This window comes from Homo sapiens, chromosome 2, assembly GCF_000001405.40.
Source record: "Homo sapiens chromosome 2, GRCh38.p14 Primary Assembly".
Taxonomy (NCBI): domain Eukaryota; kingdom Metazoa; phylum Chordata; class Mammalia; order Primates; family Hominidae; genus Homo; species Homo sapiens.
In genome coordinates, this window is record NC_000002.12 from 140762200 (window position 1) to 140778403 (window position 16204).

The following is a 16204-nucleotide window of genomic DNA, read 5'->3' on the forward strand; positions in this document are numbered from 1 at the left end:
TGGATTATGTCACATTGCTTATGCAGTTCATGTTTGATGTCAATCTCAGGGGCAAAAACCCAAAAGAATCCTGAATGCAGAATTTAATTAGGGCATCTCAAAGCAACCAAGTCTTTCCTATACTCATATCTCATCCTGAAACCCAGTTTAATATTAAAATAAAAATACCACCTTCCTCAAAAGATTCTTTTGATAAATTAAATGACATAAATACACAAAGTTTCCTAACTTTACTCCTGTGATGTAGTAAGTGTGCAACAAATATTAAGGGTTTTTTTTGTTATTTTAATTTCTTCCTCTTCCAACCCCTCAGTTTTCTAATCCTCTTATGGGTGTTTAATTCCATTTCTAGGCTTTTTCAATTTCTGCCAAGTTCCTATTCTAAAAATACTAAGGAATTCATAGAACCAATTAGTTATTTTTTTCACCTTAAAGTTTGAAAATGATCCACTTACTACTTGTTGCCCTTAGATAAAAATAAGGCCAAATGATAAAATGAAATTAAAGATCCATTGCTTATGACCAGCCCATAAACAAATTAAATAACTTTCCTTTTCCTTTACCTAGAATATTGTCTAGTTGATTAAAAATTAATGGCCCAAAAATTCAGAAGCTGAATCACAGCTTTTTTTAAATAAATGCTATCAAAAAGACAAATTGATTAATACATATTCAGTTTTCTTAAAATGGGAAGAAAAGCACTTTTTCAAGTTTAAGTTTACAGTTGAAGATACTAAAGGTACCAACGTACCTAAGCTAAAAGAGATCTCCTCATTATCATTTAATCTGTCAGTATATCTAGGGTTGGGTTTCTGGAAATAAACAGGTACCAATCTATACTCTAAGTATCAGAGTATGGAGTAATTTGAAAAATATAAAATAGTTTGACCTATCTATAAAAAATACTTTTTTCACATATCTTTAGGGGTGTTTTAGCTGGATGTTGCCGGTGGGTTAAGACACTGTGATCTGCTCAAACATATATAATTTAAAAATTTTTCAATCTCTCAGCAGCTACTAATAATTTACTGTGAATTGAAGTAACCATGCCTTTAGAAAATAGGTTTCTCAGCAGCTCCATTTTGATAAAGAAGAGTGGGGAGAAAGAGTGGTACATTCAATTCTGAATGTACCACTGAGGAGAAGCCTCAGTAGCTAAAAAGAAATATGGCAGCACAAAGTAACTCAGGCAGGGAAAAAGAAAGTTTTCCTAATGCAGATTTGATGTGCTTCATGTGGATTAAACTAAAGTCGGTGTCAAGATCTTTCCCTTTCCTGAGGGGTGCTGAGTGCCTGAAGTTTCATGAGACTTGCCTAAGAGATTCTCTCAAAAATATGGAAAATAATATAGATCTCAAATAAGTTGACCAAAGTTTTAATCTTAGTAGGTGATCATTGTGCATCTTCTTGTGCTTTTAATTTCAGGTAACATACTGATAAATTAAATGCCTAATAGGGGCTTGTTTTCATGTTTTGAATTTAGAAATTACCCAAAAAGGATCTGTGAGATATTTCCAGTAATTTACTTAACCTAAAATGCCTTATGTTATGCATGTTTATGATATTTGTATTTCAGGTAGTATTGATAAGTTTTTATTTTCTTGTGATATTACATCTTGAAAGATTTACTGAATTGACTACCTACAAATCTATACACACTGTTCACATGATTAAAAAATATATTATTGAAGAAAGTTTGAAATGACAACAAAAAGTAGTTTTAGTTTCACTGTCACAAGAACAAGAAGAAATTGAAGCAGCTCTAAAATTCACTTTGTAGCCAAGAAAATGGTTTTCATAAAATCGAAAAAATGTCCCAAAGCAACAATATTATATTTCTTAAACTATTGCTGCTACTGACATATAAAGAATTCTTTCTATAATTCTTCTGTGGCCTTGGTTGGTGACAAAGTCGTTACTAGAAAAATTTTGTAAATAGTTTCTTTTTATAAGCTTCCAGGCATAGAAAATAAAAAAGAGAGAGACTCATTTGAGTGTCACTATCTTCAATTATTAAATGGGTTTAAAAATCACATGATTCAGTATATAAATCAAAATAATACACGATCTTCTACTAGCACAAATTTGCAGAAGCGCAATGTAGTGTCATCAAGTAATGCCAACAATGGTCAAAATAAACTTTTGCTTCAGTGGTTACAAATGCACGACGGCACAGTGGAAAGAACTGGGAGTAGGATACTCCATTAGTATATGGCCCCTTGATCTCTTTGGTTTCCAGTTTCCTTACCTGTATCATGAGGGAGTGCTACAAATGGTATCAAATACTCCTTCTAGTTCTATGTTTCAAAGATAAATATGAATGTCGTGGGACTAATAAAGAGGGATTCTTTCATATAAACAGATGACATTCACTGTATAAACGTGGCAATGATATTTTGTCACATATACTCCTTCAGTGTTTTTAAAATATGTTTTAATTTTTAGAGTTCTAGGTTCACAGCAGAATTGATCAGAAAGTAGAGTTCCCATATATTCCTTCCGCCATACACAAACAGCCTTGCCCACTATCAACATCTCACACCAGAGCGATACATTTGTCACAGGTGAATTTAAGCCAACACATCCATAGTTTATATTAGCATCTATCGTTAACATTAGGGTTCACTCTTGGTGTTATACATTCTGTGGATTTAGGTAAATGTATACTGACATGTTCCTTCAGTGTTTTTATTGTCTTAGCCAGATTACTATGTGATGGTGTAAAAAAATAATAAAATATTTCCTCTAGTAAGTTCCAGACAATGACATCCAAATAATGACCCTTATTCTGTGTTTATTTTTTTCTTTTAATAGAGACAGGGTCTCACTATACTGCCCAGGCTAGCCTCAAACTCCTGGCCTCAAGTGATCTTGCCACCTCTGCCTTCCAAAGTGCTAGGGTTACAGGTATGAGCCATTGCAGCTGGACCCTTGTTTATCTTCATCTTCCAAGCAACTTAGACGTGAAGTTCTAAACCTGGTAGCTATTATAGTAACCATCAGTTGTTGCATCATTGAGTTGGATGACCCAAATTTCAATAAAAGAGATAAAAGATGAAAAAAGAATGTAAGTGTGAAGTTTTACAGATGAATAATTATTCTGAGTAGAATGTCCTCTTCAAGTAGCATCCAATTGTTTCATTATTAAGGAGAAGTCATAAGTACCCCAAGGGGAGGGAGAACTGAATATTGAATAGAGCATTACTTAGTGAAGATCACTTAACTAAGTGGAGCAATGGGCTTTGCTTTGAAGGCTTTTCTCCTAACTAAAATGTATCTGTTAAAGCATCAAATGCAGTATTCATTTATCAGGAGGAATATCACCCAGCAGGCAAGGATTTTCAAAGCTCAATATGTTTTTTTCCACTGGAATGGAACTTTTCCAGTGAAGAGATAAAAATTCTTTGAACATTTTAAATCTAGCCACAGGGTCTTTTTTTCTTCTGTGGAGAGTATCCAGAATTGCTTCATCTGGTAGAAAAAACAATTTGTTCATTGTAGAAAGCTTTAATTTATTACAATCAAACCCAGAAAGATTCAGATCTGTTAATTCTTATGAAATGCACAGGTTTTGAGAATACATTCTTTCTGTAATATCATGGTAATGAAATAGTATTGATAAATTATGATACTTGTACTTTGCCAATGATTCTCTTCCACTTCATCTCCTTAGCATGACTGGGGCTGTTTGTTTAGAATAAGAGGCTAATGCTAAATGACGAGTTAATGGGTGCAGCACACCAACATGGCACATGTATACATATGTAACAAACCTGCACATTGTGCACATGTACCCTAAAACTTAAAGTATAATAACAATAAAATAAAAAAAAAGAATAAGAGGCAACTGTGCCCTTCCATTTGGTCATTTTTATCTTTGATCCTAATGTAGAGATTATGGCCCTGGGGTAAATGTCATTAATGGAAGAAGAGGAAATAAAATATCTGCAAAAGAAATTAATCAAGAAAGAACCTATAATCAGGTGAAATATGAAGGTCATGATTTAAAAAAAAAGATAAACAAGTAGAGACTGACACAACAAAAAAGGTTTCTTTTATCTCTTTCTCTGAGGAACAATCCAGGTTTTCCTTTCTCTCTCTCTCTAATTTCCCTCCAAGAAGTAACAGAGCTTGTATATCACCACTATAAAGATATTATAAATCAAGCTGCTGACACTTATTCTGATCCTAATATATTTTCATAAAACACAGTTAATAAAGGATCAGACTGTAAAGTAGATGGAAGTAACACAAGTTATGCAAAAAGGCAGTGGAAAGCTCCTGATAGCACCACCACCATCATGACCTTCATTAGGGTTTCAGTTAGTTCAGCCTAAGCACTGAATGTTAGCCTCTTAGATTTACATTTAATATTATAAATAGTTACTGATATCTAATCTTTAAGCATCAGCTCTACAGACTGATGATGATGATGATGATGATGATGTTTATCCTCAAAAGGGAGGTTTATTAACCTGTGTTTATTGCCCCAGAGTAGTGAAGAAACACCCTTTTTTCTATTCAGATAACTGAATAGAAAACATAATATCAGTTGAGAGAACAGTAAAGCCAAATCCTAGCTAATTAGAAATTTAAATGTAGCTTCCAGGGCATCTTTGTAAAATATATATATATATATATATATTATATATATATATATATATATAATATATATAACATATGATAATTTCTACAATATTTTACTTCCCACTTATTTGATATTTTTGTTACCATTCTCTGAGCACCAACATATATCAGGCACTTTATTAAACATTTGCTTACATTGATCTAAACATGCCCACACCCCAAAAAGGGAAACAGAGCCTCAGAAAAATTAGGTAACTTACCCAAGGTCACAAAGCTACTAGTGGTTGAGCTGGCATTAGAACCCAGGTTGTCTGTGGCTAAACTCTGGTTTCTTCCAACTATGTTTCACTGGCCTGTAGATCTCTAACCTTCTTTGGTTTTAAAGAAAGTTTTTCACTGCTGTATTCTGAGTAACAGTAGGGATTTTAATAGATTCTTGAACATTCTACCTACATGACTATTCTGTATGCTTGCATCCCTTTACATTTAGAAGAAGAAATAGCTTTTCTGAAAATAACTTTTTCCCAGGAAATAAAAATATGGTAGGCAAAATGTAAAGAACAAAGTTTTAACTAAAACAGGTAACTTCTCCTTAGGAAAAGTTACTTTGACATGAAATAAGTTTATGATATTAATAATTATTGGGCATTTTGAAACAGAAAGTCCTATTCTCTGCAAATAAACATATCCTCCATCATGGTACATGATATTAAACTTAACCATTTCAGGGCCAATGTAAACTTTGGAGAGTGAATTTAACTCATTCAGATGATCTATTTACCCTTAAAAAGCAAAAGATTTCCTAATGATCTTATCAAGACATTTAGATCAAATTGCTTATATTATTTTATTTTTTTTAATTATTATTTTTTTTATTATACTTTAAGTTTTAGGGTACATGTGCACATTGTGCAGGTTAGTTACATATGTATACATGTGCCATGCTAACTAATATTTTTTCCTCATGGAAATTTATCAAATATTTTCAAAAATCATTATGGAGTCTTCAAAATAATTGAATATATGCTCCAGCTAAAGCAAAGGACTATGTACCTAGTAAAAATACATGCATGTACTGTATACATAAAATCTTTTAAAAGTTCAAATTTTCTTAGTTTTGCACTTAACAAATCCTATATGATAAAATTCTAAAGAATAAAATGCAGGTACATAAGAGACAAGGTAGATTATTCATTGTAGAGGTAATTAGCCTTCCACCAATAATGAGATTTGATTAAAGTTTGATCAAAAACCACACTGAGATTTTGGCAAAATTAACATATTGCTTAATAAAATGTGTTATACTTCTTTGTATTTCCTTTTGGTAAAGGTGATTTTAAACATTTGCCTCTATCCAATTCCAAACATTTGGTGCAAAACAATCTACTTAAGAAAACTCATTTTTGAACAATTTGTGAAGATCCCCAGTAATTCATTAACTTGTAGTCCAGAGTTTTATTAATACATGATTAAACAAAATGTGTTAGAACTGTACCAGAAGCCCACATGCTGGTGCAAGATTACAATGATTCTTTTTTTTAATATTATAAATCAAATAGCTATTTGTTTTTTAACATTAGATCAAACTAAGTCTTTACACATATAAAAACACCGTGGAAATGCATTTACATGTTCAACATTAAAACATTAATTCAGAAAACATACGATTTAGCATTTATTTTGATAAGTTTAAGCCCTCAAGTTGAAGATAATAAATCTAAATGTTAATGTGAATACCAAATATTTATGCTATGTCAGAATTTAGCAATTAGCGCCAAAAAACTTGTTTACTTCAGTAAATTCAACAGTGTCTACCATTAATTCCCCATCACTTATTCATATTAGCCGCAGCAAAATGTTAGTGTCCGCTTTGCTTCCTGTTGCTTCCTTTCACTGTTTGCTAAAATATCAGAAGGTAAAGTAAAATCTGACTCCAAATGGTACATACTATATTCAACAATAATTTTCAGTGGTGTAGCATGTATAATTGTTTCTAGTATTTGGATTTCATTTGCCACCGCTTGTATTACAATAGAAAATCACATCCTGAATATATTTTAAATAAAGTTATATTTTAGTATATAATAGATCAAAATGCTTTGTATGTCCTTATATTTATAACTAGATAAAAGTAAAGTATCAAAATAAAAAAGAGAGAGAAATAAAAATAAGCAACCAAGTGCCAATGGTGGTATGTTAAGGCAATTGCAATTCAAATGCTATACTTTAGGACGATTTTACTTGATTTTTTTTTCAGACACTACACATTTAGAATAATTTATGATTGGCCTTAATATTTATCTATTTGCTGCTTTCTTATTTCTCATCTTGACTATTAAAGCACAGAGGAAAAGATTGTATTCCCATCATGTTTAATAAATCAAGTGAATATATTATGCATAAATTATGACTAAAAAGCTATTTACCTGCATGGAAATCTATTCCCACGGCAAATGAAGTTCCTGATATAGGCATCAAAGCATCCATTTTGTCACTTGGTTCAAGAGGTATTCCCCTGATTCCTTCATGAACAGAGTACATAAGAAATGATTCTATACCTAAATGCAGGGCCGGAGATAAGGGGGGGAAGGGAAGCCCAGAATGAATATTTAAAATACAAATAATTTCATTTGTATTATTTTTAACAATCTTAATTTATGTTAACAAATGTATTTCCTGGCCTTTTAAAAAAATTATTGTGTACTACACTTCCTGACTAACGAAAGGTAGGTAGATTTGTAGTTCTCAAACTTGATTATGCATATGATTTGTTAAAATAGGAATTTATTAAAATGAATTAGTGGGCCCCATCCCAGAAGCCTGATCATTTAAATATCTAAAAATCTCCCAATTGGTGATGATGATGCTGGTACGGGCCCCACACTTTCATAAGCACTGAGTTAGATGATTTGTGGAAGCCTACCTCATCTCTCAACCAAAATTTATTCCCTCTTCTTTAAAATCCAAACATCTCTTTACTTATATATGATAATAAACCTGATTTAAGATAACTGTATCACTGATACTTTTAATAGACATTTAGATTTCTTAAGAAATTTTTGAAGTTAGTCTTCATAAATCTTTGTCATACTAAGAATACATCAATAGCTTAATTAGCTATTAATATCACACTTCTCTGGCATCAAAAGCCTGTCCCCAAATAGGCACATAAATATTAAGCTAACTACCAGAAGTACACACTCTAATGCTTATGCATTTTGCCAATATATTAGAAAATATTTATATTTTTTTCTTATTAAAACTAGAATGCCTAGAATTAAATCTGTTTCCACTATTTCCTATCCATGTAACCTAAGTTGCTTAATTTCTCTGTGCCTCAGTTTCCTCATTTCTTAAATGGGGATAATAAGAGAACTACCTCATGAGGTTATGAGGATTAAGTGAATTAATACGTTTAAGGTGCTTAGAACAGTGCCATGCACATAAGTATCATATAAATATTGGATTTAAAATAAAATAAATGATAATACATATATAGATATATAGATATTTCTCAAATAAGATTGGAACATTTTTAACGATAAAAATTAACCTATGATCATTAGATATAAAAGATCATTCTAGAACCAAAGTTATTTGGGACTAATAGAACTAGAGACTGCAAAACAGGAAGATTTCTTAGGTACCAGTTCTCTTACAGTGCTTTTCTCCCTCAGTTATGCAAACCTGAGACCTCACATTCTCTCTAGTGCTTCCTCTAATATAGTCTAAAGTAAACATTACTTAGTTCAAATTCTACATTAATTCCAGCCAATCAAGTACTGCTTTTTACTATAATTTTTGCCTATTCAGGTCGAAGGTAGCTTTTACTAGATTTGGTTAAAGGTTTGATAATATACAGCAGTTGCTAAAATGACTAAAAAATTAGAATGTCTTATAAGGCAGAACAATGATATTTTAAATATTTCAAATATTAAAATCTTACACATATGAGACTAAACAGTATACCATTTCCTAATAACTAGTTAATTTTTTTCTAATGTTTAACTGACTTTGGTTGCCTAACATCTGCATGGTATGTAATGATTAGTGAAGTAAATGAACCAGAGGTAAGGTTTTTCATGAACTCATACCTTGACATGACATACGGTTCTTTTGGAGATAATATCCCACTGTACACATACAAGTCCTTGTAGTTTCAGATGTTGGTAAACAAAGTTGAGAGCATCCACCATTGTTTAGTTGGCAGGAATTGCTGCCTGCATAGAATGAAAATGAAACAAATTTCTTTAATGAAATTTTTAAAAAATAAAGTTTTATTTAACGTCAATAATTTGACAAATATGTATGCTATTGATTTCTAAATGCAGCTGTTTCATACTGGTTAAAGATTACGCTTTATTCTCTTGAATAATTTAAAGTAGTAAATTATTGTTGAATTTTCCCTTTCAAAAAAGTCAACAGACATACATGAGAAGATTAATAGTTACAGAAAAGCAAAAGGAAATTGATTTGTCATAAATATTTTCATAGACCTTTGTAATATTTTAAGATCAGAGAAACCAGCATCTTTTTCTCTTTTGATTTTTAAATTTTACTTCAACTCTACAATTACTTCCTTTGCAAGAATATTTTATCCAAATGTGTCACATAAATAGCTGTTAAATTATTACTAACCACTCAAAGATTATGCGTCTAAAAGAAAGGAGGTATGTATGTGTATATGTATTCAATTAATTTTTAAAAGCAGGGAAATAAATTTTCTCATTCATAGAAATATAATTCTCCCGAAATATATGAAAAACACAGCCATAAGAATCATCTAATTAATTGGCATATTAATTCCTCTTCTTTCTGTACAGTACCAATGACAAATATTAGTCAGGTAATCACAGATAGGCATTCTAGAATCCCTGCTGAAGATGTTCCATTGAATTTACTAGGCCCAGTGTGCTAATTAATGCTGGTAGTGGGAAGTTAAGTAATTTACAATCTTACCCAGAAAGTTCATTAAAAATCCCATTTTTACATCTTTTTTTATTATTCTAGAGCATGCAATGCCATTTACTGGATGTTCAAGCACTGATATGAAGTGTAACAAATCCAGTGAGAATTACAAAGCATGATGAAAGCTCTATATCAATAGTTCTCTGTGGAAATTTCAAAATACCAATGCAGCTCGTTATTTCTCTTCTTCTGAATTCAAGATGGTCTGATGAGATTTAATTGTTCAATCGAACCTGTCATGAGCTCTGTCATTTTTGAAGTGTGAAATACTCTCAACTTGGGAGATTTCTCATCAGGAGATGTACCACATTCGCTGCTCATGTCCTGTATCTGCCAGTTTGGCCACTGATGAAATCCATTTTATGTAGGGCCATTATATGGCCCTGAACTTTTAAAATGATTACATTTATCCTATATAAACTAATAAAAATTAACTGATTCATTCCACATTTTTCCAAGCTGATGTATAACATTAAGATGAAATTTTGTTTCTCTCATTTATCAAATAATGAAACAATTATATTTATAGATTTATAATATATATATTTGTATGTATGTATATATATATTATTTTTGAGACAGTCTCACTCTGTTGCCCATGCTGAAGTGCAGTGGTGCAATCTTGGCTTATCGCAACCTCCGCTTCCCAGGTTCAAGCAATTCTCCTGCCTCAGCCTCCTGAGTAGCTGGGATTACAGGGGTCTGCCACCATGTCTGGATAATTTTTGTATTTTTAGGAGAGATGGGATTTCACCATGTTGGCCAGGCTAGTCTTGAACCCCTGACATCCAGTGATCCATCCACCTCGGCCTCCTGAAGTGCTGGGATTACAGGATGAGTCACTGCCCCCAGCCTAGATTTATAATAGTTATATACTGACAATCTACATATTTCATTTTGTAGAAAGCATGGGTATATTAATGTAATGCCAATCTTTTAGAGAGTTGTATTGAGATGTAGATGTATTTCAACTACCAAGACTGAAAGGCTGGGGAGACATCCGCAGATGATACTTAACTATAGAGCTTGAAAGAACATTTGGAGAGAAAGAGAAATAAGGGAATTGAAGAGGCTAGGCACAGTGCTCATACCTGTAATCTCAGCATTTTGGGAGGTGAAGGCAGGCAGATCACTTGAGGTCAGGAGCTCTGAGACAAGCCTGTCTCAAAACCCCATCTCTACTGAAAAAACAAAAATTAGCCAGGTGTGGTGGCTACACCTGTAATACCAACTACTCGGGAGGCTGAGGCATGAGAATCATTGAACCCTGGAGACAGAGGCTGCAGAGATTATACCACTGCACTACAGCTCAAGTAACAGAGTGAGACTGTCTCAACAAACAAACAAACAAACAAACAAACAAAAAACAAGAAGTAAAGAGAAATAGGTTAGGAAAGACCATGTACTTGTAAAAATAAGAGAATGTGGCTAGGGGCGCGGTGGCTCACGCCTGTAATCCCAACATTTTGAGAGACTGAGGAGGGCAGATCACCTGGGGTCAAGAGTTCCGGACCAGAGCGGCCAACATGGTGAAACCCCGTCTCTGCTAAAAAATCCAAAAACAATTAGCCAGGCATGGTAGTGAGTGCCTGTAATCCCAGCTACTCGGGGGACTGAGACAGGAGAACTGCTTGAACCCAGGAGACAGAAGTTGCAGTGAGCTGACATAGTGCCACTGCACTCCAGCCTGGGTGACAGAGTGAGACTCCATCTCAAAAAATAGATAAATAAATAAGAGAATGTGAGGGGTTACATAGCCTTGATAATAGCAAAAATACGTGAAAAAAAGGACCTTCTGGGTCTGGGGCTGTATATTTTTAATATAATTGCAAAAATAGCCATATATAAGTATTATATATAATATTTCAGATAAATATTCAGATATATAGAGAGAACTATATTTTTGATAAATAATAAAATATATTTCAACAATTAATGTTAAACACTAACCATATACATTTCATATATCCTTTGTTTAGTCTCTAAGAAGAAATTAATAGTGAAGGAGAGAAAAAGTAAAAAATAATGAAATGAATTCTTAGTTACAATAAGGTTCTTTTTCTGTTAAATATAAAGTAGAAAATATAGTAAAATTGAAAGGTAATAATTTATGTAACAAATTTTTGTTTTATGTTTAAATTTATATTATCTATCAAATTATAAATACTAGCTTGGCTTAATAATTTATAATGATATTGATGTTGAAACCTCATGCCCCAAATCTCTAGTGGAGCTAGAAAGTCCACTTGATTAATAAGAATTCTCAACTCTCCAGTGATCTTTGTCAAAAATGATATATTAAGTCACTAATTGTACTTTGAAATCCAAATAGGTAGTGATGTTAACACCTTAAAGAGTCCTAAATTGGTCATATTTCATACTAATGAAGCTTTTACGCTACCTGCAGTAATTCTGTTAATGGGATTGTCTTTAATACAGATGCTTTTATCAGCATATTCTAGTAAAAATGGTATTTTCATTGCTTAAATTTTAAGTTTAGTCATATTGTACCATTGATTTCTAAGTGCTAGAGGTCCTTGTTCATTTGGCAATACTTTCACAGAGCATAGAACACCCAATTATACCTATAGAATCAAATCTTTAAAAGATGAGGAAAATCTTGTTAACAGGAGTAAAGTACACTGAGCATCATATAGTAAATGTTTCCCCCTAAAAACTTCATTGGAATTATATCTAGAAAATTTGACATGTATATTTACAGCTTAAAACAAAGCATATGTTTGTTCACAGTTTGGAAAAGTGGGTAAATATTTTTAAATGCTCTGTTTGGAAATTCTTTCTCTCTTGCACACCTTCCCTCTCTCTGTCATATTTTCTAACGTTATGTTTTCAGATACGATCTCATATGTATGCGTTATTCACTGAGATTTACAATAGTACTGTGAGTTTTTACACATAATTATATTCTATGGAAATCAGAAAATGTTTCAATGTTTTATTTACTGAGTACCAGTATTTTATTCTCAATTACGTAATCTATTTCCCATGACTTGAATGGCAGTACAATTATTTTGATACAGAAAAAGTTTCATTACTGAATTGCTAGTGAAAAATATCCTTGTTTATTATTGTGGACATGACCCCAAAAATTCAGAGAACAAACAGATAACCATTTGGGTATTATATACATTCTCAGGTTATACGTTCTCAGGTATATGTATGTATATACATTCTCTTGGGTGCACATACGTTCTGTATATGTGAATCTATGAACATTCATAAATTCTCAACAATGAACGGAATGCAATAAATACTTCAGATAAATGTTTAAAGCAATTTTTTATTCTAAAGTTATTAATTTTTTATGAATACGTAATATGTTTTCTTCTGCTTGGGGCAAGTAAAGATTCCAAACCAGCGTGACCCAATCCCTGTACAGGGAAGGCAAATCCTAATCTGATCTCCATTTTATCTCCTGATGTGCAGGCAGCGCTCTCAATTGGTATGTTCAATAAATGCTGCTTGCTTGATGGTCATTACCTATCTGCAGAAATAGCAATCCCCTTGGTTTTCTATTATTACCCCTGCTCTTCTCTGCTTTAGTCTACATACCCCAAATCCTTTAGATGAAAATCCCTATCTTAGTGTTCAAAATCATTCTGGAAAACTTTTCCTAAGAAAAGTATGTGAAGCTAAGGATTTTCATGGAAGAGACTAATGTATGAAAGTACAGTATATTTTTTTTTGGTTGATTTTTTTTTTTTTTTTTTTTTTTAGAAAGAGAATTGTGCTAATGTCATGGATTATGAAGCAAAAAGTAAGAAAGGACTAGCAGATGTGGGGCTGTACTGGCTGCCATCTCTAATCCATTTGCCATTTGGGTAGTGTGACAAGTCTACCTATGTAAACCATCTGTTATTTCTCTCACTCCATTTCACTGCACACAATTTGGACAAGCAAAAACAAAAAAGCAAAATGATTACAGCCAAACAATGTAGTGCTTTGGATATGGAATTCTTTTGTTGATGTAGTCCATTTGAAGTCCCCTAGTTCATTCAGATTCTGGGCTTAACTATGCATTGTATATATTTTGCCAGGATATATTTTCTTATTCTTGTATTTTTTTAGTCAAGAACAGGATAAGACCTCTTTGAAGACCTGACAAATTAAGACTCCTAAGGCAGGTTTGCTAATGCTTTCAAAGCTCATTATGCATCTATATTAAAGACATTTCTCCTACAGTAGTAAGCAACATTTTCCTTTTTTCTCTGTTTTTATTAGAAGCAAGAATAGAAACCTTTTATTGTTGAATTGAGGAGCTAATATAAAAAAGAGCACATTACGTATTCAAGACCTGGCACAAATTCATTAGTGTGATTTACCTTGCTGTGCTTCTTTATCATAGACTTTCATATGAACTACCCCAGAAGTCTTATTCCGTAGGATGGTGGGGTTTCTTCCGTCTCTTTTGCTGCAGGTTCCTAGCTGGGCTAAGTTTTGGTCTGCCCACCACAGTTTCTTATCTAGAAAAAGGAAAGATATTTTTTAAAGGAAAGTATAATTATCTTATTAAATAATAATAAATACTTACTAAACTATAATACTCTCTGATTTCTTTTGTTATATTTCCAAACTCTGTTTCTAAGGGAAACAGTAAAATCACTGTCACATTTAAAAATGCAGCTCGTAGTGACATTTTATTGTTCAAACTTTCCTCCTCCTCTACAGTTAGACTCTTCAATTTAACTTTTCTTTTTCTTAGAAAAGAATATATAATATTCTTATATTTTACATAACATGTAAGTATATAGATGTAAATAAAAGCGTATTTCAAATTAATATAAAATCAGCTTTTATTATTTACATACTTAAACATAATCATGTAGTTTTGTACGATACGTATTTGTAAATAAATGGCAAAATCTAACAAAATATCTAAACAACAATTATAAAATATACATTGTTCTCCCACTTTTTATTTGTTAAAAGTGTGTAAGCTTTTGATCATGTGTGCTCTCCATTACCGGTCTCTTCACAATTGTTAACCTTCTCTATTTCTTCTAGTGACCCTTTCTCCAAAATTGCATTAATTTATACCGGTACCACCTACTGAGTGTTCATTTGATATCAGAGAATCTACAGTGTGCCACAGATAAAAAAATAGAGATCTCCCCCTCTTATTGTATTATTTCAAATTGTGAAAGCAAAACTGTAAGGAAATGATTATTGTTTCATTTTATAAAGAATCTGAGACTCTATGAAGATTAAGTAACTTAATCAAATTTACATATTTCATCTCCCTATCTGAAAAACTTGTGTTCTTTCCAAGACTCCATGAGAGGCTTTAAAACATTTAAGGCAATGCAGTAATTTAAAATAAAGTTATAATGTAAAAGGATTTGAATGATTTAGACTTATCAAGAAGAATAGAATTAATGGCCACAAATTGAGACCACAAATCAATTTCTACCTAGAAGTTAAAATAAGGTTATTTAACTCTATTTGGGCAATTAAAGATATTTTTACATGTAATACCACCTCCATCTCCTTAGCCCTTTGCCCCTAGCTCACAGAGGGCTGACAGCTGATAAAAAGTGTCAAATAACTAGCCACAGCTCTTTTCTAAGATACTCAGTGAAGAGGTTTTGAATATTAAAGCTGGTGCCATGCAACACAGTTCTCTTCATTCTAGCATTCATGGGAATCAAATCCTGGCCCCCAGGTCCCTCCTGAAACTAAACCTACAAGTCACAGTGTCGAATGCCTTGCAGAACTCCCCTCAAGGAAGATACCAAGTGAAAAGACTTCTACTCTCATAAAGGTAAAAGACATCCATGAAAGATAAACAGTCCTTCTTTGTTAAACATCACAGGAAATCAAGGATCTCCAGCTCAATGGGAAATAGTAGCACAATGAAAAATAAACACTAAGATAAACATAGGTGCACAAATAATAATTTAGAAAAAATCCTTTTGTTTTAAATTATCTAATATCTAATTAACATACTCAAGAGATTCTAGTACATATACCCCTCAAGAAAGTAAAAGATGCTGTAAAAAATGAACAATTACAAAAGAAGAGTCTTTAGAGATTAAAAAATCTACCAAGAAGTATTTTTCAATAGAATGATCAGAAAATATGGTAGAGGCAACCTTCCATAATATAGAGAAAAAAGACCAAAGAAACCTCAGAAAATGGTAGGAAAAAAGTAAAAAAAAGATTAGTAGAATATTTGTTTTGAAAGCCCAGTAGCATTAAACTGTACTAGGAATCACTGAATTCACTACTGCCATGCACTCACAGGGGGAAAAAAATGCCAGTTTTACTTAAAAATTACCTTAATTGATCAATAAAAACTATTAATTTTATTAAAGCTAGGACATGACATTTTAATATTGTGTCACAAAATGAAAAGTGCATAAGGTCCTTCTGCTGCCTACCAACATACAGTTGCCTGGAGGGAATGTCTTATGAGATTGCTTGAACTGCAAAAAGAATTAGCTACTTTTTTCATAGAACATCATTTTATCTTTGAAGAATGACTGACAGACTATGGCTATTCAGAGTTCAATATTTAAAAGATGTTTACTCAAAAATGAATGGAATATAAAAACTGTCATATAAGAAAACTGAGATAATTTATTTTCAATGATAAAATTAAAGCTTTCAAATGAAGATTAGAGTGTTG

At 32.3% G+C, this 16204-nt stretch overlaps 1 protein-coding gene across 4 annotated transcripts in view; it reads right to left on the reverse strand.

The window, feature by feature from the left end:
- Nucleotides 1-16204, reverse strand: part of LRP1B (LDL receptor related protein 1B) — a 1899594-nt gene that overhangs the window by 530777 nt on the left and 1352613 nt on the right. For all 4 annotated transcript variants that reach the window (NM_018557.3, XM_017004341.2, XM_017004342.1 and 1 more), the window contains 3 exons: nucleotides 13899-14039; nucleotides 8682-8807; nucleotides 7014-7145 (listed from right to left, as the gene is read on the reverse strand). In NM_018557.3, coding sequence (NP_061027.2) covers nucleotides 7014-7145; nucleotides 8682-8807; nucleotides 13899-14039 — 399 coding nt within the window. The remainder of the gene's footprint in view (nucleotides 1-7013; nucleotides 7146-8681; nucleotides 8808-13898; nucleotides 14040-16204) is intronic.